The 27,786-nt window shown below is 45.2% G+C and overlaps 1 protein-coding gene across 5 annotated transcripts in view; it reads right to left on the bottom strand.

Annotated features, from left to right (window-relative positions):
- Nucleotides 1–122: 122 nt before the first annotated feature.
- Nucleotides 123–27,786, bottom strand: part of ZDHHC5 (zDHHC palmitoyltransferase 5) — a 33,069-nt gene continuing 5,405 nt past the window's right edge. For 4 of the 5 annotated variants that reach the window (XM_011544900.2, NM_015457.3, XM_011544901.2 and 1 more), the window contains exons 3-12: nucleotides 18,762–18,883; nucleotides 12,640–12,797; nucleotides 11,102–11,274; nucleotides 10,868–10,970; nucleotides 8,603–8,694; nucleotides 7,390–7,522; nucleotides 5,262–5,385; nucleotides 4,432–4,544; nucleotides 1,887–2,746; nucleotides 123–1,439 (exon numbers count right to left, since the gene is read on the bottom strand). In XM_011544900.2, coding sequence (XP_011543202.1) covers nucleotides 1,274–1,439; nucleotides 1,887–2,746; nucleotides 4,432–4,544; nucleotides 5,262–5,385; nucleotides 7,390–7,522; nucleotides 8,603–8,694; nucleotides 10,868–10,970; nucleotides 11,102–11,274; nucleotides 12,640–12,797; nucleotides 18,762–18,883 — 2,044 coding nt within the window. In that variant the 3' untranslated portion in view covers nucleotides 123–1,273. Of the gene's footprint in view, nucleotides 1,440–1,886; nucleotides 2,747–4,431; nucleotides 4,545–5,261; nucleotides 5,386–7,389; nucleotides 7,523–8,602; nucleotides 8,695–10,867; nucleotides 10,971–11,101; nucleotides 11,275–12,639; nucleotides 12,798–18,761; nucleotides 18,884–27,786 lie in introns of those variants that run through there. The other variant, XM_047426724.1, reaches the window with a different exon arrangement.

The raw sequence follows: 27,786 nt of genomic DNA, 5'->3' as shown, positions 1-27,786 counted from the left end.
TAGTCTTGCCTAAAGATGGGCTGGGACCAGAGAAGTTTATGAGGTTGTCACTGATAACTTCCCACCAGAGATCGTTCACCCTGTCTCAACCAGACAAAATAACACAAGTCAGGGGGCGCTGGTTAGATCAGGATTTCTTTTTATTCCTCGTTGGTTTAAAATGGCTAATCAGAATAAAAAATAAAAGGGCCTCTTTGTGGAGGCTGGGATCTCCCCTATTTAGAGGTTAGAACCCAGGTATCCCCTCTACCCAGCACCATAGTGAGGTGGGCTGAGGGGTAACCCCCAAGGGACAATCGGAGGGGCCTAGGCCTGCCACTCCTTCTCTCTATCCCCCGTTTTTGGCATGTGATGAAAAATATTGCTTTTTGGATTCTTCTCTCCTGGCCTTGGATTTTAAAATCAAGTTAACTGTGTAAGCTAGGGGAGGCTCCAAGGGGCCAGTAGGAGCACACTCTAATCCCTCTCCCCCAAGGAGGGGATTATCCAATATTGTTTGAGCTAGGCCAAGTTATTTTCCTGATCTCCCACCACCACCAGTGTCTTGAAGTTTTGACCCCTTTCCTAGGGAAACTAAATGCCAATGAGCCTAGAAAACTAATTCTCCTCTCCAAGTCCTTCCCTCTTGTGACCAAAATTCCAGACTCACCTCTCCCCAGGCTTCTTCCTAATCACACTTAGCACCAGCAGAGGATGCTATTTCCGTAGTTAGTAACTGGGACAAATGAGAGGGAACCACAGGAAAAAGACTGACGTCTCCCCTCTTTTCCTGCTGGTCTGAGGAATGGGAAGAGTAAGATCCCCCTCCGTATATGTATCCCTCCCTCATTTTCCCATCCCAGGATAGATATATAATTTCTTTGATATTTATAATATATATATATATATATTATATGTACACACACACCTGGTAACGCAGAAGAGGAAAAAAATAGAATCCGTAACAATAATAAAAAAAATTATTTCTGGTTTAAAAATGATCTGGTTCCCTCCAGGGCGAGCAATTGCACAAATGTCCACTGAGTCTGGTCCAGGGATCAAGGAAGGGAAGGTCTTAAAAGATAAAAGGGGGGGTTGCTACCCCAGTCTCAGGGCCCCAACTCTCCGACTCCCCAAGCCTACTGCATTTTAGAAAACACTCCTCATCCTCTTGGAATCGGTGGTTTAAAAAATGTCCATGCACGGGAGGGGAGCCCCTTGAGGGAAGGAAGGTGGCCACCTGGGGCCCTTTGGTGTAGGCGCAGAGGCGTTGGGGAGGGGAGGTGCCGAAGGCTCACACCGAAATCTCATAGGTGGTACCACCAACCCCTGACACCTTCTTGACTCCTCCCCTCGTGGGGCTACTGAGAGGTGGCTGGCCTGGGCCAGGGGAGGCTGAGCCTAAGCTCTTGGGCTGCCCGTTGGATTTGCTGTAGGTGGTCTTCAGCTGTACTTCATCTCTGGAAAGAAGAGACAAGACGTAGGTGTCAGGAAATGGGACAGAAAACATTGGAAAGGGAGACAGTTTCAAAGGTTCAGAGAAAAAAATGATGTTCTTTTCTATATCCATACTTTCTTACCCAAACATTCCCCTTTATTGCCCTGCTTAAAATAAGCCTGATTCCCAATCTCTCCTATGTACTACTACTCTCTAGTAACAGCTATCACATGTACTTACTCCCAAGCAAATACTTTTAGGAAGATAGCATTATGGAAAAAGTATTAATCTTCAGTCTCTTAACAGGAATTGCCCATGAAGGCAGGTAGAGTCAAAGTGAAAATAAAGAGCTACCAGGATACCCCTGGGTCCACCTACATTAGGATGTACAACAGAAGCCCTGATAGCTTTTGCAGAGCAGTATGCTAATTTGAAATTGGCTAAGGGTCAGGATAGTACTAATACTTACTTGGGTGTCAGTAATGGCTGCAAGGCCACTTCTTCTGTCTCAGAGACACCAGGTTGGGCTTTTTGGCTGCTGTAAGACATCGATCGGCCCAGGTATGGGGCTGTTGGGCCTGGTTCAGGGGACCCTACTCCCCGGCCCCTTAGCCCATCTGGCTTGCCAAAACGGGGGACAGCTGGGCGTCCCAGTGGAGTCTTGCCCAAAGGTGATCTCTTTGAATCATCTGAGGAGGAACTAGTACGAGGGGCATGGCCCGAGCCTGGTGTTGACTGAATGCCTGAGTCCCCCAAGCCTGGTTCTTCCTCACGGCCCGGGAGTGGGGGTGACTGGCGCAGCAACTTCTCTCGTTCCTGGAGAGAGGCCACAATGTGGCGCGACAGATTGTCGTAACGGACTGGTGAGGGCTCTCGGTGTGTTGGGCCAGTTGGCACCAAACGTGGGTGCCTCTCAGCTTCCCGTTGCTGGGCCAGCCTGGCTGACAGGAAGGGAGAGGTATAGCCTAAAGGTGGGTCTGGCTCAGGCCCTGCCTGCACTGACTCAAAATCAGGGCTGTCTGAAGGTGTGAGCAAGCTGTCATAAGATAGGCTTCCATTGCGTGTCTGGTTGGCCAGGCTCTTATAGGAGGTGGAGGTGGTGCCCTCTGAACGAATGGATTGCAACTGGCCCAGCTCAAAGCCTGTGCCCTGGGCTGACTTGAGGCTGGAGGAGCGTGAGCCACTGGATAGTGGATCGAAGTGAAAACTTTTGCCAAAGGTAGGAGAACGGAAGCTCTCTGGTTCCAAGCTGGGCTCTGAGCGGTAGCTGGGGTGACGGCTGCTCTCTGCAATTGAGGTTGGCTCCTTCAAGCTGTCCCCACGACTCAACTGAGGAAGAAAGTAAAGCAGGCTCTTAGTGCTCCTTTTGTGACAGAAGCTAGACCCCAGAGCTCAAGGAGTTGGTCAAAAAGAGAATTATGTGCCAATAATAAGCTTAGAACTCTTACATGCATTATCTGGGTTAATCCCTCAAGAAAAACTGAATTCAGGCAAATATCATCTCCTTTTCAGATACAGAAAGCAAGACGTAGAAAGGCTGAGTATCTCGCCCGTGGGCAGAACTGGGTTATAAACTCGGATCAAGCACTAATCTATTATGCTATATTGCCCAGTCTGATGAAGGACACAGTATCAAGGAGATTGAGTTCCACGAATGCCAACAATTAGTGAAATGTCCTTTCTTCTGCCTTTTCCTTCCCCTAATCTTCTTTTTTTCCCGTAACAGTTGGCATTTGTTTGTGTGTGTGTGTGTGTGTGTGTGTGTGTGTTTTAAGCCCAGGCTGGAGCGTGATGGTGCAATCTTGGCTCACTGCAACCTCAGCCTCCCAGGTTCAAACGATTCTCCTGCCTCAGCTTCCCGAGTAGCTGGGATTACAGGCGCCCCGCCACCACGCCCAGCTAATTTTTGTATTTTTAGTAGAGACAGGGTTTCACCAAGTTGGCCAGGCTGGTCTCAAACTCCTGACCTCGGGTGGTCCGTCTGCCTCAGCCTCCCCAAGTGCTGGGATTACAGGCTTGAGCCACTGTGCTTGGCCTTTTTTTTTTTTTTTTTTTTTTTGAGGTGTAGTCTCACTCTGTCACCAGACTGGAATACAGCAGTGGGAGCTCAGCTCACTGCAGCCTCCACCTCCCAGGTTCAAGCAATTCTCCTCCCAGGTTCAAGCGATTCTCCTTGCCTCAGCCTGCCAAGTAGCTGGGACTACAGATGCATACCACTACCAGCTAATTTTTTTTTTTTTTTTTTGAGATGGACTCTCACTCTGTCACCCAGACTGGAGTGCAGTGGCGCAATCTCGACTCACTGCCACCTCCACCTCCCAGATTCAAGTGATTCTCCTGCCTCAGCCTCCCGAATAGCTGGGATTACAGGTGCCCCCCCACCACGCCCAGATAATTTTTGTATTTATTTATTTATTTTTTTTTTGAGATGCGGTCTCGCTCTGCTGCCCAGGCTGGAGTGCAGTGGCATGATCTCGGCTAACTGCAAGCTCCGCTTCCTGGGTTCACGCCATTCTCCTGGCTCAGCCTCCCGAGTAGCTGGGACTACAGGCACCTGCCACCATGCCTGGCTAATTTTTTTGTATTTTTAGTAGAGACGGGGTTTCACCATGTTAGCCAGGATGGTCTCAATCTCCTGACCTCGTGATTCACCTGCCTCAGCCTCCCAAAGTGCTGGGATTACAGGCGTGAGCCACTGTGCCCGGCAATTTTTGTATTTTTAGTAGAGATGGGGTTTCACCACATTAGCCAGGCTGGTCTCGAACTCCTGACCTTGTGATCCACCAGTCTCGGCCTCCCAAAGTGCTGGGATTACAGGCGTGAGCCACCACGCCTGGCCTAATTTTTGTATTTTTAGTAGAGACGGGGTTTCACCATGTTGGCCAGGACGGTCTCAATCTCTTGACCTTGTGATCCACCCACCTTGGGCTCCCAAAGTGCTGGGATTACAGGAATGAGCCACTGTGCCTGGCCAGTTGGCATGTTATTACCCCACCTCTTAGAGTACTCAGTACCTTGGCGCTGGAGGAATGCGGCATGGCAGCTGACGTACTGCTGCTACTGTAACCCGGCCGATACTTGTACATGGTAGGTGTCGGGGGGCTGTCCTTGGCCAATAAGCTACTATCTGCAAGAAAAAAGGCCAAGGGGGCACTATTTTACAAGCGGTTTTTTGGTTTAAGAGACAGGGTCTCACTCTACTGTCCAAGCTAGAGTGCAGTGGCACGATTATAGCTCACTGGAGCCTTGAACTCCTGGGCTCCCACCTCAGCCTCCTGAGTAGCTGGGACTGCAGGCATATGCCACCATGCCCAGCTAACTTTTTTAAATTTTTTGTAGAGACAGAGTCTTGCTATGTTGCCCAGGGTGGTCTTGAACTCCTGGGCTCAAGCAATCCTCCTGCGTTGGCCTCCCAAAGTGCTGGGATCACAGGTGTGAGCCACTGCGTCTAGTCTATGAGTTGTTCACTTTATCTGCCTAGGGTTCCTTAAGTACAGGGAGAGGACAAGGTAGGAATAGATATACCCTTCGCTGAAATCAAGACTTTTAAAGACTCACACCAGCCCAGAATTCAGGGTGGGTAAATGCACCAAAAAGGTTCTGTGATGTTCTCTGGTCTGCCTAGAGGCTGACCATTTTCCCGGCAAAAGTCCCATTCACTGCCAATAGCTAAATGGCCTCTCTTCTCTTTCAGTTGCAAAGTAGCACAAGTACCAACTGTTGGGTGTTTAAAGTCACAACACGAGTAATATCTCCCAGCCCTTGCCTGTCTTCCACAGCTCATAAGCAACCTTCTCAATCCTGCCCCTAGTTCTAGTATCTTGCAAATCAAGGCAGCCCTTACCCTCATTAGTAGCCAAGCCGAGGTGTGTTCGCAACCCTGTGTAACGGCTCAGGTCTGGCTTAGGAGGAGGTGGAGGTTCAGCATCTGCAGACTGGCTCTCTGTTATCTCCAGGCTTCCCTTAGACTGGATTGATGAAGGGAGGGAAAATCAGATTTAGAAATTGAGCATTATGGCAACTCAAAGTATTAAATTGATATAAGAGGGAGGTATTTGGGAGTCAATTCTCATGTATTTTTTTTTTTTTTTTGAGACAAGGTCTCACTCTGTTGACCAGGCTGGAGTACAGTGGTACGCATGATCATGTTCACTGCAGCCTGCAACTCCTAGGCTCAAGTGCTCTTCCCACCTCAGCCTCCCAAGTAGCTGGGATTACAGGCACATGCCACCACACCCAGTTAATTTATTTTACTTTATTTTGTAGAGATGGGGGTCTCGCCATGTTGCCCAAGCTGGTCTTGAACCCCTGGCCTCAAGCAATATCACCCCACCTTGGCCACCCTAAATGTTGGGATTATAGACATGAGCCACTGCCTATCATATATTTCTCAACTATACTGGAAGACAAGGCACAAGAATCAGTTTGGGTATAGCATTAGATGAAGAAAAGTTGGGTTTTTTTTTTTGAAATGGAGTCTTGCTCAGTCACCCAGGCTGGAGTGCAGTGGCGTGATCACGGCTCATTGCAACCTCTGGCTCGCAGGTTCAAGCGATTCTCATGCCTCAGCCTCCCAAGCAGCTAGGATTACAGGCATGTGCCACCACACCTGGCTAATTTTTTTTTGAGATGGAGTTTCGGTCTTGTTGCCCAGGCGGAGTGCAATGGCATGATCTCGGCTCACTGCAACCTCCGCCTCCCGGGTTCAAGCAATTCTCCTACCTCAGCCTCCCAAGTAGCTAGGACTACAGGCATGCGCCACCATGCCCAGCTAATTTTGTATTTTTAATAGAGACAGGGTGTCTCCATGTTGGTCAGGCTGGTCTCGAGCTCCCAACCTCAGGTGATCCACCCACCTCAGCCTCCCAAAGTGTTGGGATTACAGGCATAAGCCACTACGCCCAGCCAGAAAATTTTTCTATTTTTTATTTTAGTCTGTTTTAGAGATGGAGTCTCGCTATGTTGTCCAGGCTGGTCTTGAGCTCCTGAACTCAAGCGATCTTCCCACCTCAGCCTCGCTAAGTGCTGGGATTATAGGCATGAGTTACTGTACCTGGCAGAAGAAAGGGTTTAAAAAAGGTTTTAATTCTGTCACTTATTTGCCCATTTAAACCAACAACTACTTGTTTAGCTCCTACCATCTAGCTGTAAGCTGTTAAGTCCTATGAAGACATGGAAATGAATGAATTCATTTTCTATTGTTAATGAACTTAAAGTCTAATGTAGGGCCGGGTGCAGTGGCTCACACCTATAATCCTAGCATTTTGGGAGGCTGAGGGGGTTGGATCACTTCAGGTCAGGAGTTTGAGACCAGCCTAGCCAACATAGGAAAACCCTGCCTCTACTGAAAATAAAAAAATTAGCCAGGCGTGGTGGCGCATGCCTGTAGTCCCAGCTACCCAGGTGGCTGAGGCACGAGAATCGCTTGAACCTGGGAGGCAGAGGTTGCAGTGAGCTGAGATCATACCACTGGAGTCCAGCCTAGGTAACAGAGCAAGACTCCCTCTCAAAAAAAAAAATCTAATGTAGAAAACAAGATTTGTATTTAAGTAATTTTAACCCAAATTAGTAAGTGATAAACACTGTAAGAAATATGGGCCAGGCGTGGTGGCTCATGCTTGTAATCCTAGCACTTTGGGAGGCCGAGGTGGGCAGATCACCTGAGGTCAGAAGTTCGAGACCAGCCTGGCCAACATGGCAAAACCCCATCTCTACTAAAAATACAAAAATTAGCCAGGCAAGGTGACGGACACCTGTAATCCCAGCTACTCGGGAGGCTGAGGCAGGAGAATTGCTTGAACCTGGGAGGCAGAGTTTGCACTGAGCACCACTGCACTCCAGCCTGGGCAACAGAGCAAGACTCTGTCTCAAAAAAAAAAAAAAAAACACAAAGGAAACTAAAGCAAGCTTCCGTCTCTTTGCCTTGGGTGAGACTTCCATGTTATCTAGCTTGACTTCTCTAAATTCCTCACCTTTGTTCTCCTCAGCTCTCCCTGGATGCCATTATCCATGATCTTCACAGTTATCTGCCCATCTGAAACTTCTGGTCGAAGGAAGGGAGGTCTGATTACAATTGTCTTCTCTTTCTTTGGTCTCCCCAAATACCTAAGTGTCGAGAGAGAGAGAGAGAGAGACACAGCGAGAGAGCTTTCATTCATTTATATTTTAAAGTATCTACTGTTTCTGTAAACCATTTTTATTAGGTTGGTAAAAAAGTAATTGCAGTTTTGGCCATCACTTACTTAGCAATAAACAGAATTGATTCTGTGAAGGACTGCAGCAGGACTAGGCCTTTGTGAGCAGATACCTAGCTCAAGGAAAGCACTTTAGAGTGTATCTTATTCACCCTCAATTCTCAAAGATTTACCTTAATACCTGAAGAATATCAATGGAATTCACAGTGTCCACTAAAGCAGGGGTCCCCAACCCCTGGGCCGCAGACCAGTACCGGTTCATGGCCTGTTAGGAACTGGGCCACATAGCAGGAGGTAAGCAGTGGGCCAGTGAGCATTATCACCTGAGCTCCATCTCCTGTCAGATCAGCGGAGGCATTAGATTCTCTTAGGAGCGCAAACCCTAGAACCCTGTTGTAAACTACACATGCAAGCAATCTAGGTTGTATGTGTGCTCTGAGCTCACTGCAACCTCTGCCTCCTGGGTTCAGGCAATTATCCTGCCTCAGCCTCCCAAGTAGCTGGGATTACAGGTGCCTGCCACCTTGCCCAGCTAATTTTTGTATTTTGAGTAGAGAAGGGGTTTCACCATATTGGCCAGGCTGGACTTGAACTTCTGACCTCAAGTGATTCGCCCACCTCGGCCTCCCAAAGTGCTGGGTGTGAGCCGCCACACCCAGCCATGAGAATCTAATGCCTCATGATCTGAGGTGGAACAGTTTCATCCTGAAACCACCCCACCCCAGCCCCCATCTGTGGAAAAAGTGTCTCCCATGAAACCGGTCCCTGCTGCCAAAAAGGTTAGGGACCACTGCACTAAAGGATGGGCATGTAGGTACTTACCATTCTAAGATAGACTACTTACCATTCTAAGATAGAGTGGGTACTTAACATTCTAAGATAGAGAACCCTTCCTAAAGGCTCTCACCAGACCCCTCCTTTACCAGAACAAGCCCAAAGAAGATAAAAGTTCTGACCAATGGTAAACACTAGACCAGAGGGATAGGTGTACCTGGGTGCTGGAGAACTGCAGAGAACACGGCTGACATTGTTACAGCAGCCATTGGTGAAGGGGTTCACACCTCCCCGGAATTTACCCGTAACCTAGAGGGAGAAAAAAAATACCAGGTTAGAAGATGAGACCTTGACTTCCAAAGGCCAAAATACAAATCTATTACAAGTTATTGTGCACTCACTATCTGAGGGCTATGCAAATGAGTAAAACACAAGAAATTTATATATGTTATGGTTAAGAGCAGGGAATCTACAGTCAGGGTCCTTAGTTCAAATCCTAGGTCTACCTCATGGTTGCTGACCCAAAACCTCAGTTTCCTCATGTAAAATGGGATAGCTTTCTAAATATTGAAAACTAAGATAAAGAATAAGCAATTAAGGGCTGGGCATGGCAGCTCACACCTGTAATCCCAGCACTTTGGGAGGCTGAGGCAGGTGGATCACCTGAGGTCCGGAATTTGAGACCAAACTGGCCAACATGGCAAAACCCCATCTCTACTATAAAAATATATAAAAACTAGCCGGGCATGGTGTCAGGCACCTGCAATCCCAGCTACTTGGGTAGCTGAGGCAGGAGAATTGCTTGAAGCCAGGAGGCAAAGGTTGCAGTGAGCCGAGATCGTGCCACTGCGCCCCAGCCAGTGGGCTCCAGCCAGTGGGCTCCAGCCTGGGTGACAAAGCGATACTCTGTCTCAAAAAAGAAAAAAAAAAAGCAATTAAGGTTAGCTACTATTATATGCACAAAAATCATTGCTTTCCTGTAAGCAGCACTATAAGCTTCTTGAGGGCTAGCCTAAGTCTTTCATTGTTTCTATAAACTCAGAGCCTAAATTCTCCAGTATCCAGTGGGCATATAGTAAATGTCTGTTAACTAAGAAGTGGCCTCTATTCTTTTTTTTTTTTAGGAAGATCTTAAATATTTATATGTATATGAACATATATGTACATATACATATGTCTTGCTACACTTTAAATTTAAAAATCTATTAATATGATTTTTGACAAACTAAAGAAAGAATACTATTATTTGGATACCAAGTTCTATGGTGAGTATTGTTTAAAAAACTATCATCTTATTCTTTATGCTATATTGTCTAGTTTCAGTTTGGTTTGGGTCTCTCAATTGATATTTCAGGTGATGATGCCAAACCATCCAAGACTTTCTTTGGAGATAGATATTATTTTGTTATAAAATATATTTTTAGGCTGGGCGCAGTGGCTCATGCCTGTAATCCCTGCACTTTGGGAGGCCGAGGTGGGCGGATCACGAGGTCAAGAGATCGAGACCATCCTGGCTAACATGGTGAAACCCCGTGTCTACTAAAATTACAATAAATAAATAAATAAATAAAAGATATTTTAGCACTTTGGGAGGCTGAGGTGGGTGGATCACCTGAGGTCGGGAGTTCGAGACCAGCCTGGCCAACATGGTGAAACCCTGTCTCTACTAAAAATACAAAAATTAGTTGGGCGTGGTGATGCACATCTGTAATCTCAGCTACTTGGGAGCCTGAGGCAGGAGAATCGCTTGAACCCAGGAGGCAGAGGTTGCAGTGAGCCAAGATCACGCCACTGGATGCCAGCCTGGGCGACAGATCAAGACTCTGTCTCAAAAAAATAAAAAATAAAAAAAGATATTTTAGGGCAAAATTCAGCCTTTATCTCTATTGTCTTAGTATCTCTTTGAGAGTATCTTTATTATTATTATACTTACAGCTCTAGGGTACATATGCACAACATGCAGGTTTGTTACATATGTATACATGTGCCATGTTGGTGTGCTGCACCCATTAACTCGTCACTTACATTAGGTATATCTCCTAATGCTATCCCTCCCCGCTCCCCCTGCCCCACAACAGGCCCCAGGGTGTTATGTTCCCCACCCCGTGACCAAGTGTTCTCATTGTTCAGTTCCCACCTATGAGTGAGAACATGCGGTGTTTGGTTTTCTGTCCTTGCGACAGTTTGCGCAGAATGATGGTTTCCAGATTCATCCATGTCCCTACAAAGGACAAGAACTCATCCTTTTTTATGGCTGCATAGTATTCCATGGTGTATATGTGAGAAATGGCCTCTATTCTTACATGGCCTCTACACTTACATGAGGAACTAGGACTACCTCACTCCCTACCATTAATCTCTACATAATCATGAAAAGTATTCATTAAGCATCTCTTTGTGGAAGCACTACACTGCACACTAATCAGAAGGCTAAAGAGACATGACCTGCTCTTCAGGGGTCTCTCGTCACTTTTCTCCATACCTGTTCATTGGTTGTGCGTCCCCTGGCCACCAGAACCACGTGAAATCCCGTGAGGCCAGCTACAGGGATGAAGAATAAGCCAGCCACACACATTACTGCCATTCTGATGCCAAACAATCAAGGAGAACAGAGCAACATGACCTCACTTTCCCCGGCCCCTACTGCAGCCATTTTCCCTTTAGCCCTCATTCCTCCCCCTTCCAATCCCACAATCTAAAAGGCCTTGAAGGATACGTGACAGCCGTGCGGACCCCTGAGAGTTCCTCTATGTGGTAGAGGACATAAAGGAGGCCAAAGCCAAACACACCCATAATGTGGGCTGTCAGGGAAAGGAGGAAAAGGAAAAAATAACGGTAGTTCCGGCGACCAATACAGTTATTCACCCAGGGGCAGTGATGATCAAATTCCTAGGGACAAAGAGAGACAGATGAGAGGCATCCCTGGACCATAGCATTAAATTACTTCTGTCAAGAAGAGAAACAAATGGCAGCTAAGTTTTGATCATGGTCACCAATTAGTTCAAAATTAAATCCAGTTTATTTTGCTCTATAAATCTGCAAGGGAGACCTTCCAGAGGTTGGTCAAAGGCCAAGGCCAACCAGGCGTAGTGGTGCACACTTGTAGTCCCAGCTACTTGGGGGGCTGGGGCTTGAGCCCAGGAGTTCAAGGCTGTAGTGAACTATGATGACTGCCTGTGAATAGCCACTGTACTGGGCAACATAGCAAGACCCCATCTCTTAAAAAAAAAAAAAAAAAAAAATTGGCCGGGCGCGGTGGCTCACGCCTGTAATCCCAGCACTTTGAGAGGCCGAGGCGGGTAGATCACGAGGTCAGGAGTTCAAGACCAGCCTGACCAACATGGTGAAACCCCATCTCTACTAAAAATACAAAAATTAGCCGGGCGTGGTAGCGCGTGCCTGTAATCCCAGCTACTCAGGAGGCTGAGGCAGGAGAATCGGTTGAACCCGGGAGGCGGAGGATGCAGTGAGCCGAGATTGCGCCATTGCACTCCAGCCTGGGCAACAGAGCGAGACTCCGTCTCGATAAATAAATAAATATATATATATATAAAAAAGACCAAGGCCGGCTCTCAATGTTTATCCTATGTGACCAAGGAACTCTAAAAGTGACGAATGTCAGAGGTTTTGCAGAAACATCAAGATTCATAAGAAAAGAGGATTAGAAGGAAGATTTGGCAGGTAACTGCTTATAGCTAAGTGAAAATGGAATGGAAAAAGGACAAGGGATGCAGAAGGACAGGCAGGAAAACAACTACAACAAATTGAAACACAACAGCATGATTTTCTGGAAGAGAAAATGCAAAGCCAGGATAAATAACCAAAACTGAGCCAATAGATAGAAGGCTAGAACTATAAATCTTGGTGTCAAGAAAGCCTACACCCTGCTAGTGCAATGGCTCATGCCTGTAATCCCAGCACTCAGCACTCTGGGAGGCCAGGGCATGAGGATCACTTGAAGCCAGGAATTTGAGATAGTCCAAGCAACACAGTGAGACCTCATCACTACAAAAAGTAAAAATAAATAAAAAAGAAAGCCTATGCCCATATTGAGTTAAAGCTTCCCTCCTGCAATAATATTTATGCTCTGCCTCTCATGCCATGTCATTATTAACACCATTTGACAGAGCTGGACCATGTGGCCAACGTAGTTAGACAGGACTATACCACATCCAAAGCTAAGAATCTATTATATGGTTAGGATGAAGACAATGAAGGTTAAGCATGAAGTCTTACCCCACCCAGGGTGCTTACCTCCACACAGTTGTCACAGACACTGCAGTGGGAACATCGAGGGGGACGGTAAAAGCGGCAGGTGGCACACCATTTCATGCGCACCTGGATGCCCTTTATCTCCACTGTTTTGTAAAGGGGAGCTCGGAAATCATCTTCCTTGTCCTCATCCTCCTCAGCTGTAGAGAGGAAAAGTCAATTAAAAACAACTATGCCAGAACTGTAGTAAGTGCTAGGGATTCAATGATGTTTAAAATATAGCTTCTGCCTTTGAGGAATTCACAGTCTAATGAGTGAGACTAGGAACTAGGAACTATAAGACTGTGAGGTCAGGTCTTTATACAACACTATGGGAACATGGATGAGGGAGCAATTTATTCTGCATTGGGAAGTGAGGTTCGAGATAAAATGACTCAAGAGGTAGCTCTTGTATGCATCTGCTGGTGTTATTTGGTTTAAGTATATGAATATATTTTAAAGAAATAGTTTACATATCAAAGCACATACATAATGAGTTTGCATAAGAGTTCAGTATCTACATTTATATGAGTGAACTATAGCAATCCAAGAGAGGAACTAACATCAACCTTTTTTTCCAGGCACGAATCCTTTGCCCAGCCAACCATGGTGGCTCACGCCTGTAATCCCAACACTTTGGGAGGCCGAGAAGGGCGGATTGCCTGAGCTCAGGAGTTCAAAACCAGCACGGCCAACATGGTGAAACCTCGTCTCTACTAAAAACACAAAAATTAGCCTGGTGTGGTGGCATGCACCTGTAGTCCCAGCTACTCAGGAGGCTAAGGCAAGAGAATCGCTTGAACCCGGGAAGTGGAGGTTGCAGTGAGCTGAGATCACGCCACTGCACTCAAGCCTGGGCAACACAGCAAGACTTCATCTTCATCTTAAAAAAAAAAAAAAAAAAAAAAAAAACTTTCCCAAAATGTCTTCCCCTACTCTATGAATTTTCTCTACATATACGTATTTCAGTATTATTTGTTGCACAAGCATAAATGCCCTTTCTCTCAATTTTCAGCTATCAGAAACCCACCATCCCATTTCAAAACTTAAAAGACATTATTTGCCTTCTCATATACAGTTAGCAATTTTTTTTTTCTTGAGACGGAGTCTTGCTCTGTTACCCAAGCTGGAGTGCAAGGGCGTGATCTTGGCTCACTGCAACCTCCACCTGCCGGGTTCAAGTGATACTTCTGTCTCAGCCTCCCAAACAGCTGGGATTACAGGCGCACGCCACTTCGGCAGCTAATTTTTTGTATTTTTAATAGAGACGGGGTTTTACCGTGTTCCCCAGGCTGGTCTCAAACTCCTGAGCTCAGGCAATCCACCTGCCTCAGCTTCCCAAAGTATTAAGATTACAAGCATGGGCCACCGCACCCAGAGCAATTTTTATTATTAACCTAGAAAAAAAAAATGTGGGAAGGAAAAATTAAATAGATGATAGTGTGGAATTAAAAATTAAGTTTTCAAATTTTACTGATTTCTTTACATAGCATTTTTTCATATTTACATCACAAGAAATGCTAGGTAAAGAACTGTACAGCTGGGTACGGTGGCTCATGCCTGTAATCCCAGCACTTTGGGAGGCCAAGGAGGGCAGATGACTTGAGGCCAGGAGTTCAAGACCAGCCTGGCCAAAATGGCGAAACCCCATCTCTACAAAAAATATAAAAATTAACCAGGGGTGGTGGCACACGCCTGTAATCCCAGCTACTTGGGAGGCTGAGGCAGGAGAATGGCTTGAATCTGGGAGGCAGAGGTTGCAGTAAGCCAAGATCATGCCACTGCACTCCAGCCTTGGTGACAGAGTAAGACACTGTCTGGAAAAAAAAAAAAAACACACACACACACAAATATATACTGCAGATACATGGTATACATAAATATACACATATATTTTTTAAGTCTTCAAAATATTGCAAGGATATATACCACAATATAACAGTAGTTAGCTCTGGTCTGTGAAATTATAGGTAATGTTTTGCCTTTTTTGTACTTCGTACATAATGAATGTGCACTACTTATTGAAATCTTTAAATAAAAGATTTTTTCTTTTGGTCAGGCACAGTGGCTCATGCCTGTAATCCCAGCACTCTGGGAGGGTGAGGCAGGTGGATCATTTGAGGTCAGGAGTTCCAGAGTAGCTTGGCCAACATGGTGAGACCCCATCTCTACTAAAAATACAAAAATTAGCCAGGCACGGTGGCACGCTCCTGTAATTCCAGCGACTCGGGAGGCTGAGGTAGAATAATTGCTTGAACCCGAAAGGCAGAGTTTGCAGTGAGCCGAGATGGAGCCACTGCACTCCAGCCTGGGCAACAGAGAGTGAGACTCTGTCTCAAAAAAAAAAAGATTTTTTTCTTTTAAAGGGAAAAAATTCAAATGCTATTTTTCTTTTAAGAGAGTTTTGCTCTATCACCCAGGCTGGAGTGCTGTGCTGCGACCACAGCTCACTGCAGCCCTGAACTCCTGGGCTCAACTGATCCTCCAACCTCAGCCTCCCAAGTAGCTGGAACCGCAGGTGGGCACCAGCATGCCCAGTTGCAATGCTCCTTATTTTGAAATGTCTGATCCTTCTACATCATCATCTACCAGAAGTGATCTCTTTGATTACTCTTACACAATGTATTTGTTTTTTGTTTGTTTGTTTTGAGATGTAGTCTCACACTGTCGCTGGAGTGCAGTGGCGCAATCTCAGCTCACAGTAACCTCCACCTCCCGGGTTCAAGCGATTCTCCTGCCTCAGCCTCCCGAGTAGCTGGGATTACAGGCATGCGCCACCACGCCCGGCTAATTTTGTATTTTTAGTAGAGACAGGGTTTCTCCATGTTGGTCAGGCTTGTCTCGAACTCCCAACCTCAGGTGATCCACTCACCTGGGCCACCCAAAGAGTTGGGATTACAGGCGTGAGTCACGGCACCCGGCCCACGGTGTATTTGTTTATAGAGGTGTCTTCCTATCTTCCTTTCTAGTCTGAGCTATTTGAAAGGAATGACCTTTTTATTTTTTATTTACTTTTCTTCAGATGGAGTTTTGCTCTTATCGCCCAGGCTAGAGTGCAATGGGGCAATCTCGGCTCATCACAACCTCCACCTCCCAGGTTCAAGCAATTCTCCTGTCTCAGCCTTCCAAGGAGCTGGGGTTACAGGCACGTGCACTACCATGCCTGGCTAATTTTTATATTTTTAGTAGAGACGGGGTTTCGCCATGTTGGCCAGGCTGGTCTCGAACTCCTGACCTCAAGTGATCCGCCCTGGCCTCCCAAAGTGCTGGGATTACAGGCGTAAGCCACCACGCCCGGCCAGCAATGACCTTCTTAAAAACCCCAAATGACCATCATAGTGCCTTCCATAATACATCAATAAATATTTGATGAATGAACATTAAAGGCTCATTAAAATAGCCTTTCTTGGCTTTAGGGACACAAAGTTCTTTTCCCTCACCCAATCTTTGAAGGGAAGTCACAAACAAAGCACAATGATGTAGGCTTTGGGAGCACAATGAAGTTCTTTTTTTCTTTCTTTTTGAGACGGAGTCTTGCTGTTGCCCAGGCTGGAGTGCAATGGCACAATCTCGGCTCACTGCAAACTCTGCCTCCCCCACTCAAGCGATTCTCCTGCCTCAGCCTCCCAAGTAGCTGGGATCACAGGCACCCACCACCATGTCGGGCTAATTTTTGTATTTTTCAGTAAAGACAGGGTTTTACCATGTTGACCAGGCTGGTCTTAAAGTCCTGACCTCAGGTGATCTGCCCACCTTGGCCTCCCAAAGTGCTGGGATTAAGATGTGAGCCACCACGCCAAGCCTACAGTGAATTTCAGAAAAACTTCATCTCAGCAGAGTTGCCAGCCCGAAACTACTTGTCTCACTCTTGCAAAATAACCTCACATTTGAGAGGAAAACTACATGTCATCAGTGACAACCTTTGTCAACTTATTTTCTTTCTACCTTTTAGTCCACTGATGATGGTTCTCTCCCCTCCTATTCCAGAAAGAGCCTACTTCTTCTGCAAGCATAACCTTCAGAAATGTACTGGAAAGCATCTCCTTCCTCTAAAAGTCCAATTTCAATTATCACCTTTCTTCAACCTCAGCTTCTCTCCTCTGGTTCCATCTCTGCATGCTACAAACAAGCTAAATTCTGTATCCTAAAAAACTCTCTCCTCCCGTAGCAATTCTCCTGCCTCACCCTCCCGAGTAGCTGGGATTACAGGCATGTGCCACCACACCCGGCTAATTTTTTGTATTTTTAGTAGAGATGGGTTTTCTCCATGTTGGTCAGGCTGGTCTCAAACTCCCGACCTCGGGTGATCTGCCCACCTCAGCCTCCCAAAGTGCTGGGATTACAGGCATGAACCACTGTGCCCAGCCAGCTTACTTCTTAAAAGAGTAATTTTGGGCCAGGCGCGGTGGCTCACGCCTATAATCCCAGCACATTGGGAAGCTGAGGCAGGCGAATCACAAGGTCAGGAGTTCAATACCAGCCTGGCCAATATGGAAACCCCATCTCTACCAAGAATAGGTATAGAAAAATTAGCTGTGTGTGGTGGCCCGCGCCTGTAGTCCCAGCAATTCTGGAGGCTGAGGTGGGAGATCACCTGAGCCAGGGGGGGGTCAAGGCTGCAGTGAGCCGTGATTGCGCCACTGCACTCCAGCCTGGGCAACAGAGTGAGACGCTGTCTCAAAAAAAAAAAAAAAAATTAATTATTAGTTACCAAAAAAAATGGGAAATTTGAGTTTCCATACTATTGGAGCTCTCTAATTTCTAATACTGCCAACCATCGGCTATTTGATGAATTTTCCTTAGTTCCCACTTTGTTCTATTTCTCCTCCTCCTAACTCTTCTTACTCAATCCTTCTTCATGGCTCTTCCTCCTCCTCTGATCGTTACAAAAATGTCAGTGCTGATCAGGTCTAACCTCAGTTCTTTCATAATCTCACAGTATTTTCTCTGGACAATCTTACTCCTGTTGTTTCAAATACCACATGGATGAAGATTATTAAATCAAGGTCTTCAACACTGACTATTCAATTGCCCACTGGGTAACTATCTGACTGATTCAAGTATATCAAATTCAACATGTCTAAGAGTATTTATTTTCTGTCTTCCCTCCAAACCCGTTTGACATTCTTGTATCTCATATTCAGGTTTATAAAAATCAGTATCCAACTTATCTCCCAGTTATGAACCTTGAAACTACTCTAGATAATTCCTCCACTTTCTCTCTCTTGCCCAATAAAATCATGAAAAGTCATGAAAAATTATTGAGTCTACTACTAAAAAATCTGTAAATCCAGCCTTGAATTCAAGTTCTCATCTGGTTTATTTCCACAGCCTCCCAAAAGGTAGCTGTAATTCTTACACGAATTATTTTTCTAAAAGGAATTCTGATGTTGAGTCCTCCAATTAAAGACCTCTTCCTATCCAAAGGAAAATGTATGATCTATTTAACTTAGTATGTAAAGTCCTTGACAATTTGGCTCTGGGTTTACCTCCCATCCCTCTGGTCACACCATGCATAACATCCTCTAGCCCCACTAAGTTTGCCATTTCATGGCTACAAGCTTCTGCATGTGCTGTTTCCTCTGCCTAAAAATGCCCTTCCCTCCTATATTCTACTTGGTAAAGTCTTTCCCACCTATTTTCAGCAGCATTTCCCCAATTTATTTGGGCAAAATATGTTCTCATATTTCTTTGTTCTCAATTGTTTGTATTCTCACAGAACCTTGCTCTTGCCTCCATTATAGTCTGCATCACACTGTCATAACTGTCTTAATTCACTGTGGGTATTACTGTACCTAAAAATAGCATCCAACCCATATGCTTTAAATAAATTTCTGCTGAACAAATCACTAAAACTCAAAGATTTGACCCAAAGTGAATCATAGGACTAGAAGTTATGACATATATTCCTAAAGACCCTGACCTGATTTTCATCATCAGAAAATGATAAAAGTATCCCAAAATCCCCGGACTTTAAGGCCCAAGATCAACTGCGTATGCCCAAATCATTATTTTTCATATCCCAAAATCCCAGGACTCTTAAGGCCCAAGATCAACTGTGTATGGCCAACTCATTATTTTTCAAAGGCAGTGTAAGGTGCTTCTAAGAGAGAAGCAGATCTTACCTCGAGGGAAAATCCCTGGGTCCATGAAGGTGGCCATGCTGAAGTTGGCCAACACAAAGAGAAACATAATTGCATTGTAGATGGGCACTGCAGGTGACACATACAGGCTTAGTCCTGGACACCTGCACAGACAATAAAGAAAATGAGGGGTTGCCTCTAATATTTTGGACACGAACCATACATACAAAAATCTGTAAAGACTTAGCCCCTTACCTATAGATAAATCTTGTGTGGTTTACCTTTGCCATCCCAAATTATTATCTTTATCTTTCCCACTAAGTGAGTCTAGTTTCCTATGGGAACTGCTCACTTTAGATAAAAGTACAAGACTCAGAATCTCTCCCATCTTAACCTGTTGCACTAAGGTCTTTGTGCTTCAGATTCATTCCTACCCTGTGGATCTTGCCACATGTTTTGAGATCTGTCCTTATCTCCTTTCTAACCAGACATGAGAACCAGGTACTGACTATGATATCAGCTACACTCCCTTCTCTGGAGCAGCCTGAGGTTTCTGGATCCCAGCTATGTCCCATTGACCTGCACATTGGCCCAAAGCATGGGATACCACCTACCTTTCTAGCCCCCGCCTCCCCCTTGCCAGGGGACTGAACCACATAAGTGCCTAAAGTATCTCCATTGCATTGGATATGCCTGAGAGTTTACTCAACTACAGGCCAGTTCTTAAGGTTGGGAAATTCTTTTAAAACACACAGATGAGAATGGATATCAAGACACAGAAGTAAACCCTTTGATGTCTAAAAATGAAGCAGGAATGGGGGAGGATAGAGACTATCAGACCAAAGAAGCCCTCAATTTTGTAGGAAAAAGAAACTACCCAAACATACCCAGTATTCCACAGCAGTCAACTCAAGATATGCTTTAAGGTAACTTTTCTTGATCAAAAAAACAATTCTCTAGTCCAGAATTAAACTCAGTTTCTTTCAGGATTTGAATCTACGTAGGAATGCTTCAAGAGCTCTTCCTTTCTCTGCTGATTTCCTGGGAGCTGGAAGTTTTGGAAGAACCTGATGTGCTACTTTTTTGTCAGTAGTATCAAACACTCTCGTCTCAGCTCAGGGAGAAGTTCCCACTACCAAGACAGTGGATAAATACTCTAATCTACTTTGTGGCTGAGAACTTAATCTCCAGAATGAGGACAGCATCTGTCCTTGTCCCCTTTATCTGAACCAGTCAAAGCAAAGGAAGAACTCACTGAAGGAAAGGAAGAAGAGGACAGGAGAACAAGACAGCATATGATTCCAGAGAATTAAACCACAGCAGTCTGGGATTCTGTGAAGAAAAGGTATCTGCACCCACCAAAACAAAAAGCACAGCCCTGAGACTGACTCAGAGCAGTTTGGAGGAACTCAGTTCCTTAACGAGATACAAGCAAATCAAGATAAGAGACAAAACTGTCACAAAGCATCTCACAAATCTTTACCACCACCATCTATTTATTCAAATTCCATTCAGCCATTCATTTTGAAAAGTTTTTAGTATTTATTATATGCCAGGCTTTTTAGATAGTAAATATCCATTAGCTGTTTGGTTCTCTTGATATGTCAGTACACAATTAGCAGACAAAATAACGAAGCTGGAGCAAGGGCATCAATTTTAGGGACTAAACAGACCTTCAGTCATAGTTCTATACTATCCTCAAAGAAAGCCCCCCATGGAAGCTTCTTCCTCTGTGAGTTCTTTGGTTCAGAAAAGATGTCTCCATACATTGGCAGGGTTTGGAGTGGAATATAAGCAAAAAGAAGAGTTCCTGCACCGCCTCACCCCAAAGCCTGACCTCCTAGGTTCCTTAAGAAGGAGGGAGAGAAACTGAAAACCAGTCATCCAGGTCAGAGCCCCTCCCTAGTACTAAGTTGTCACTTCAATTTCCGCCTGGGGAAGAAGAGAAAGGGTGACTCACTTGACTCCTACAGCCTGGGAAGATAATTAGAAGGGAAAAAGAAATTAAATCCTTAGAACACTGAGGTGCCCATGATTTAAAAGTCTCATTCCTACAACTGGCCACTGTGGCCTCTTGAGCTTCTGAAAGAAATATTCACCTTAGTTTCCATCTCTGAGAGAAACTAATGAGAGTAAGAACAAGATATGAAACCTCCTGCAGGCCCATGTCAATCTTTCTGACTCGACTCTTTCTTCAGTTTTGTTTTTTGAGACAGGGTCTCGCTCTCTTGCCCAGGCTGGAGTGTAGTGGCAAGATCACAGCTCACTGCAGCCTCAAACTCCTGAGCTCCAGTGATCCTCCCACCCCAGCCTCCTGGGTAGCTGGGACTACAGATGCACACCACCACGCCCGGCTAATTTTTTGTAGAGACAGGGTTTCACCATGTTGCCCAGGCTGGACTCAACTCTTGAGCTCAAAGCGATTTGCCCGCCTCAGCCTCCCAAAGTGCTGGGATTACAGACATGAGCCACCATGCCCAGCCAGTTTCATTTTTAGGCAAAGCAACTCAGTTTCTTGGGGATCCTGCCAACCTATCCCTGGATGATGAACTTTACCCTACAACCTTCTGGATATCAACTTGGTCCAGATAAAGTGTGTAATCCTGGAATGGAATTCCAGTATCTGTTGCCAAAATAAAGTCTGCCCCCACAGTGCCAGAATCTAGAAATGATGCAAATAACAACTTCATGGACAATATTTGCTCCTAGATTCACAGAACCATTGCTTCCAATCAGCACTATAAGGGAACACCCCACCAAGGAGAGGCATGTGTGAGCAGAGCCCGTTCTTGCCATATCCCAAATTCTGCTTGATTTAAGGAGAGGCTTTCCGTTGCTATGGTACTTTGCCAGATTCCTAGGTGACCACCCCAAGTGGCCTGTCTGAATCTGTTGCCTTTGATGGAAGATGAGGCCAGAGCTCAGAACAGGAGATGTTGGGGCTCGTCCTTAGACTATGGCAATAATCATAAAGCTCTAAAAGCCTAGGGAGTGGTCACAGCCCAGAAGGCTGGCTGACTCATTGACAGGACTACCAGACCTATACCATCTCAGGTAGAACGGGTTCTTCTGCCCATCCATTCAGCACTCCTGTTTTCAAGACCAAATAAAATTGGCAGAGTGGGGCCAGGTATGGTGGCTCACGCCTGTAACCCTAGCACTCTGGGACACCAAGGTAAGTGGATCACCTGAGGTCAGGAGTTCGAGACCAGCCTGGCCAACATGGTGAAACTCTGTCTCTACTAAAAATACAAAAATTATCCGGGCGTGGTGGTGGGCACCAGTAATCCCAGCTACTCGGGAGGCTGAGGCAAGAGAATCACTTGAACCCGGGGGGCAGAGGTTGCAGTGAGCCAAGATCGCGCCACTTCACGACAGCCTGGGCGTAAAAGCCAAACTCCGTCTCAAAATATATATACAAAATAAAATAAAAAATAAAAATAAATAAAATTGGGAGAATGGATTCCAATATCCACACTCCTGAAACCCTGTTTCAGAGCACTCCCTAATGCATCCTGTTACAAAAAAATGGTTAAGTTCTTAGAAAGAAACACAAAGTAGGAGTCAAGAATCTTTGGATTTTAATCCTGCCTCAATTAATACTTCTCTATGCAAGGCCTTAGGTAATCCACATGAAACTCTCCAACCTTGTTACTTCAGCTACATAGTACAAACATGAGAATGAAGGAGAAAGATCTTCATTCAAAAGTTATTAGAATTCATTTTTTTTGAGACAGGGTCTCGCTCTGTCACCCATGCTTGGCTCACTAAAATTGCCTCCCAGATTCAAGCAACCCTTCAGCCTTACCCTCCCAAGTAGCTGGGACTACAGGTGCATGCCACCATGACCAGCTGACTTTGCTTATTTTTTGTAGAGACAGGTCTCACTATGTTGGCCAGGCTGGTCTCGAACTCCTGGGCTCAGCGATCCTCCCGCCTCAGCCTCCCAAAGTACTAGGATTACAGGTGTGAGCCACTGCTCCCAGCCGCTAGAATTTTTTTTTTTTTTTTTTTTGAGACAGAGTTTTGCTCTGTCACCCAGGCTGGAGTGCAGTGACGCGATCTCGGCTCACTGCAAGCTCCGCCTCCCGGGTTCACACCATTTTCCTGCCTCAGCCTCCCGAGTAGCTGGGACTACAGGCGCCCACCACCACGCCTGGCTAATTTTTTTGTATTTTTAGTAGAGAACGGGTTTCACCGTGTTAGCCAGGATGGTCTCGATCTCCTGACCTCCTGATCTGCCTGTCTCAGCCTCCCAAAGTGCTAGAATTCTTTTTAAACTAGCTGGCTTGATACTGAGCATTCAGTGGACAGAAGACAAAAGAAAACATTATTAACTATCACCATCATTATCATCATCATCAATTATTCCACCTCTACCTTCCCCTATCTGAAATACTAGGAATTCAAGGACACTTAAAACAGAGACACTAAGCTCCTAAAGAATAGGTCTATGCATTCTGCCCATGCCTAGCATATTGCTTGAGCATATGACTAGTGTTCCTTGTTGATGAGAGAAGGCTGAAATGAATGTTCCACTTCCTGCCCATGGGGATCCTCATTTAGAAATCCTTTCCTCAAGATTCCATGAGAAAACAATTTCTCCCTTTACAGGTGGGCAACCCAGTTTCTCTGAAAACACCTGATTTGTGGTACCCAGACTTTCAACCAGCTGAATGTGAGACGTAGGACCTGGGCACTTATTCCTGGATAAGAAAACAATGTGAGAAGGAAAAGGCACAACCACTGCTCCATTAATGTGCTAAATCACAAGGCTGCTCCCACTCAAATCAGGTGCTAATACCTCTGCAGTTACGGGGGAGGGGGGACCAGAGAGAACTCCATGGAGGTCGGCCAACTTCCTGTGGGTAAAAGGGTTGGAAGAGGACTGAGGCAGAAACTGAAAAGCCGCAAACTATATAATGGATGGGAGCCTGAAAAGACCATCATGGATTTCCATACAACTCTGACTTTATCCTTCCCTTAGATCACGTGAAGTGGCCAGGTGCGGTGGCTCACGACTGTAATCCCAGGACTTTGAGAGGCCGAGGTGGGTGGATCACCTGAAGTCAGGAGTTTGAGGCCAGCCTGGCCATTATGGTGAAACCCCAACTCTACTAAAAATACAAAAATTAGCTGGGCTTAGTGGCAGGCGCCTGTAATTCCAGCTACTCAGGAGGTTGAGGCAGGAGAATCGCTTGAACCCAGGAGGCAGAGGTTGCAGTGAGCCGAGATCACACCACCACACTCCAGCCTGGGCAACAGAGTAAGACTCCATCTCAAAAAAAAAAAAAAAAAAAAATCACGTGAAGCAGAGATCTTATCCTGCCCCCTCCCCACCAGCTTTAGAAATGGATAAAATAGGGGCTGGGCGTGGTGGCTCACGCCTGTAATCCCAGCACTTTGGGAGGCTGAGGCGGGCAGATCACGAGGCCAGGAGATCACGACCATCCTGGCTAACACGGTGAAACCCCTTCTCTACTAAAAATACAAAAAATTAGCCGGGTGTAGTGGTGGGTGCCTGTAGTCCCAGCTACTCGGGAGGCTGAGGCAGGAGAATGGCATGAACCCAGGAGGCAGAGCTTGCAGCGAGCCGAGATCGCGCCACTGCACTCCAGCCTGGGCGACAGAGTAAGACTCCATCTCAAAAAAAAAAAAAAAAAAAAAAAAAAAAAATCACGTGAAGCAGAGATCTTATCCTGCCCCCTCCCACCAGCTTTAGAAATGGATAAAATAAGACCTTAACTGGACTAATTCACAGTTTGATGAGACTTTAAACAAGATACAATTCAAAGTGATTCGAAATGGTGTTACCAGGAGCACTAGGTCTCAGGAGATCCTACACGGTAAAGAGGCGATACCAAGGGGCTGGGCCTCTATATGCCAGCCTCACTTGAACCAGAGCAGCCCTAATTTTTATGTTGGTTTTTTTTTTTGTATATAAGATTTCATTTGAAAAAGGGTCATGTTGCTTAAACAAACTGCTGTAGGTCAACGTTCTCACTGTAAACAGGAAGAACTTAGGTCCACAAAGGTTAACAGACTTCACCAGAATCAATCTCCTGACCTCCCCCAAAGAGGGCTTATCCCACTTACCTAGGACTGCCCCTCTGCCAGTCAAAAAACAAGATTAAACTAAGATAGATAAGCATCCAAGTAGTTATCCTAAATGAAGTCTAGTAACTAACTGGGAGGTAGAAGGTTACTTCAGCAGACACTCTCCCTCCCAAATAGTGAAAACAGAGAAGAATTAAGACAGGATCCCCACCATTCCTTAGTTTTAGTGCTGGACAAATTCAGGGAATGAGAGGGATTAGAGTTCCAGGAGGAAGGCCTGAACTGTTCTGTTCAAGATTCTCTGGGGCAGATCACTATTTCTTTGATGCAAACTCAACTAGTAATTTCTGCTCATAGCTTTCCCCAACTTAACAAAGAAACATGGAAGGTAAATTGTTCCTAACTAGTTGAAGTCTACATGCCTCCACTAATTATGTCTGTTACCTGAAAGGGACTCTCCCTCCTACTCGCATTCCTCTATATCCCAAAGTAATTCTCACCTGGGGCTTCTAATAATGTAGCTAGTTGTAGCCTAGTGAAGAGAATAGGAGGATGATAGAGTAGTTACAGATTTACAGCCCCACATAGGAGCTAGTTCAGAGAGTTTTCCTCTTGCCTCTCCATTTGAAACCCTGAACTCTTTTTTAGGTTGTATGGTTTTAAACAGGGGATTCTCCAGGGAACTGAACCTCGAAAGAGGTAAAATACATGAGAGGATAGTTTTTAAGAACAGTGGTGCCTCAGCCCAGATATATGCTTACAGAGGAAATACTCTAGTCAGATGGAGAAGAGGAGATGAGAATTTCAGAATTACCCGAGCTAGGTGCTAGAGTAAGATAAACAGTGTGTTTGTGCCCCCACAAGGTGACTAGGGGAGATGCTTAGGAAAAGATGGAGCCCAGAAATTGGTCCTGTGGAAACTAGCGCCAGGGGGAAGGAACTCCAGCTATGACTTAGGGTTCTTCTAACTTTGGATGAGAGGCAATAATTCCAAATAAGGTCAATATTGTCCTCCAAAATCCTTTTTCCTAGAGCTAAGAGACCATGGAATAAGGAGGGCTCCTACTTTACTGGCACCAGGGAATGAGAAAGTAGGTTAAACAGCTTCAACTATCAGTTGAGAAAATGCCTATGTCAGGACAACTCTTTGTAGGCAAACTGGTATAACCAGTCAAACACTTCAATGGTTCCAGATTAGCAAATTAAAAACAAGGATTCAGCTTGCTCTATCTCAAGAAGAGGGAGCTTGAAAGACAGAAATCATTTAGTCCCCTCAATTTCCTTCTCCAAAGGCTTTGCCTCTTAAAGGAAAATAGACCCTCCCCAATTGAGCAGAGTTAAGGGTGTCAAACTGGTCTTGTACATACCCCTCTTGACCCAGAACCAAAATTGCTACAGGATACTAAGATATAATATAAATGTCCCTTAGTTAAAATTTTGATTCTACTTCCTGGCCATATTAGCAAAAACCAAAACAAGTTCTGACACCAAAGACTCACCCCTCTTTCTGGTAGTAAATGTATGAAGAAGGACAGAGCACTGAACATGTTGAGTTTAAGCAAGAGGAAAAGGTTATGAAGAAAATATTAAGTCAGAGAAAAGCAGCACTGTCTCTAGATCCTTGAGAGACTCCAGCAGGTATGCTCAAGCTCAGAGCTGGGGGCCAAAAAATCTACAACTTCTCTGCTTCAGAGGAGGTGAGAAGTAGGATGGTGTTCATGCCTTAGATAGTGATTCTTTCTCTCCTTCTTTAAAAACTAGAGAAATACATCAGTATTACTTTGCTGACTCTTTAGACAATGTGACCCACATTTTTCAGAATATCTTTTGGCTTCTAAAGCTAAATATGGGGAGTTTTCCTTCCCTCCTACCTCAGATTTAACTTGTGTATAATTGCCTCCACCCCAATAATCTCTACTTCAATGAGCCCAAGTGTTTTTATTCCCTACCACTTCAATTCACTTCTTCCTCTTTCCAGCAACCTCATGTTGCTCTGAATAACACTTCACAACTAGGTTTGAGCCTGAACCATGACAAAGTAACTTCCCAGAAGATCCAGCATGCTCTGATGATTCCAAGAGCTGCAACTAGAGCACTAAATCAATGACTCAACAGTATAAGGCTCAGAAGCCTGGTACATGTTAATTTATAAACAGGTAACAGCAAGGATGCCTTCCAGATGGTCAAGAGCTTAATAAAAAAAAAAAAAAAACTGAGGAAAAAGGGAAGGTTTAAATCACTCAGTCTCTTCCAATAACAAGTAAATGAAGAAAGTCTGAAGATCAAAGTGAGAATGATGCAGATCCTAGATCCTAAATGGGAAATTTTTTCATACCAACTGCTTTTCCCAACAGAACCAAGTAATGGGAAAATTACTGTCATTCCCTCGGCAGAAACTAACATAAAGGGACTCTTTTAGGACTCTCTTCCCAAATACAACTTACCCTTTCCTTTCTCAGTGGCCTTCACTTCTCCAGGCTTCTGTTCTTAAGAGTACAAAGAAAACCATCTGGGTAGCACTAAAAGCCAAAACTCTCTCATTGGTGTATCTTATAAATCAATTCTGAAATTTTCCAATACTCTCAGTTTCCACAATCTCAAACCTAAGTTTCAGACATCCTGGAAAAAAGCCATTAGCATTTAAAAAGGCTTTAGTCGGCCCAGCATGGTGGCTCACACCTGTAATCCCAGCACTTTGGGAGGCCAAGGTGGATGGATCACTTGAGTTCAGGAGTTTGAGACCAGCCTGGCCAATATGGTGAAACCCCATCTCTACTGAAAATAAAAAAAATTAGCCAGGTGTGGTGGTTGGCACTTTTAATCCTAGCTACTAAGGAGCCTGAGGCAGGAGAATCGCTTGAACTTGGGAGGCGGACGTTGCAGTGAGCCGAGACCGCGACATTGCACTCCAGCCTGAGTGACAGAGCAAGAGACGCTGCCTCCAAAAAAAAGCCTTTAGTCTAGTCTAGTTCTCTTTCTCATAGAATTGACTGCTTAAACTGCTTTAAGC

The sequence above is a fragment of the Homo sapiens genome, chromosome 11 (assembly GCF_000001405.40).
Source record: "Homo sapiens chromosome 11, GRCh38.p14 Primary Assembly".
In the NCBI taxonomy this organism is placed as follows: Eukaryota; Metazoa; Chordata; class Mammalia; order Primates; family Hominidae; genus Homo; species Homo sapiens.
This window is presented reverse-complemented; position numbering and strand designations above follow the sequence as displayed.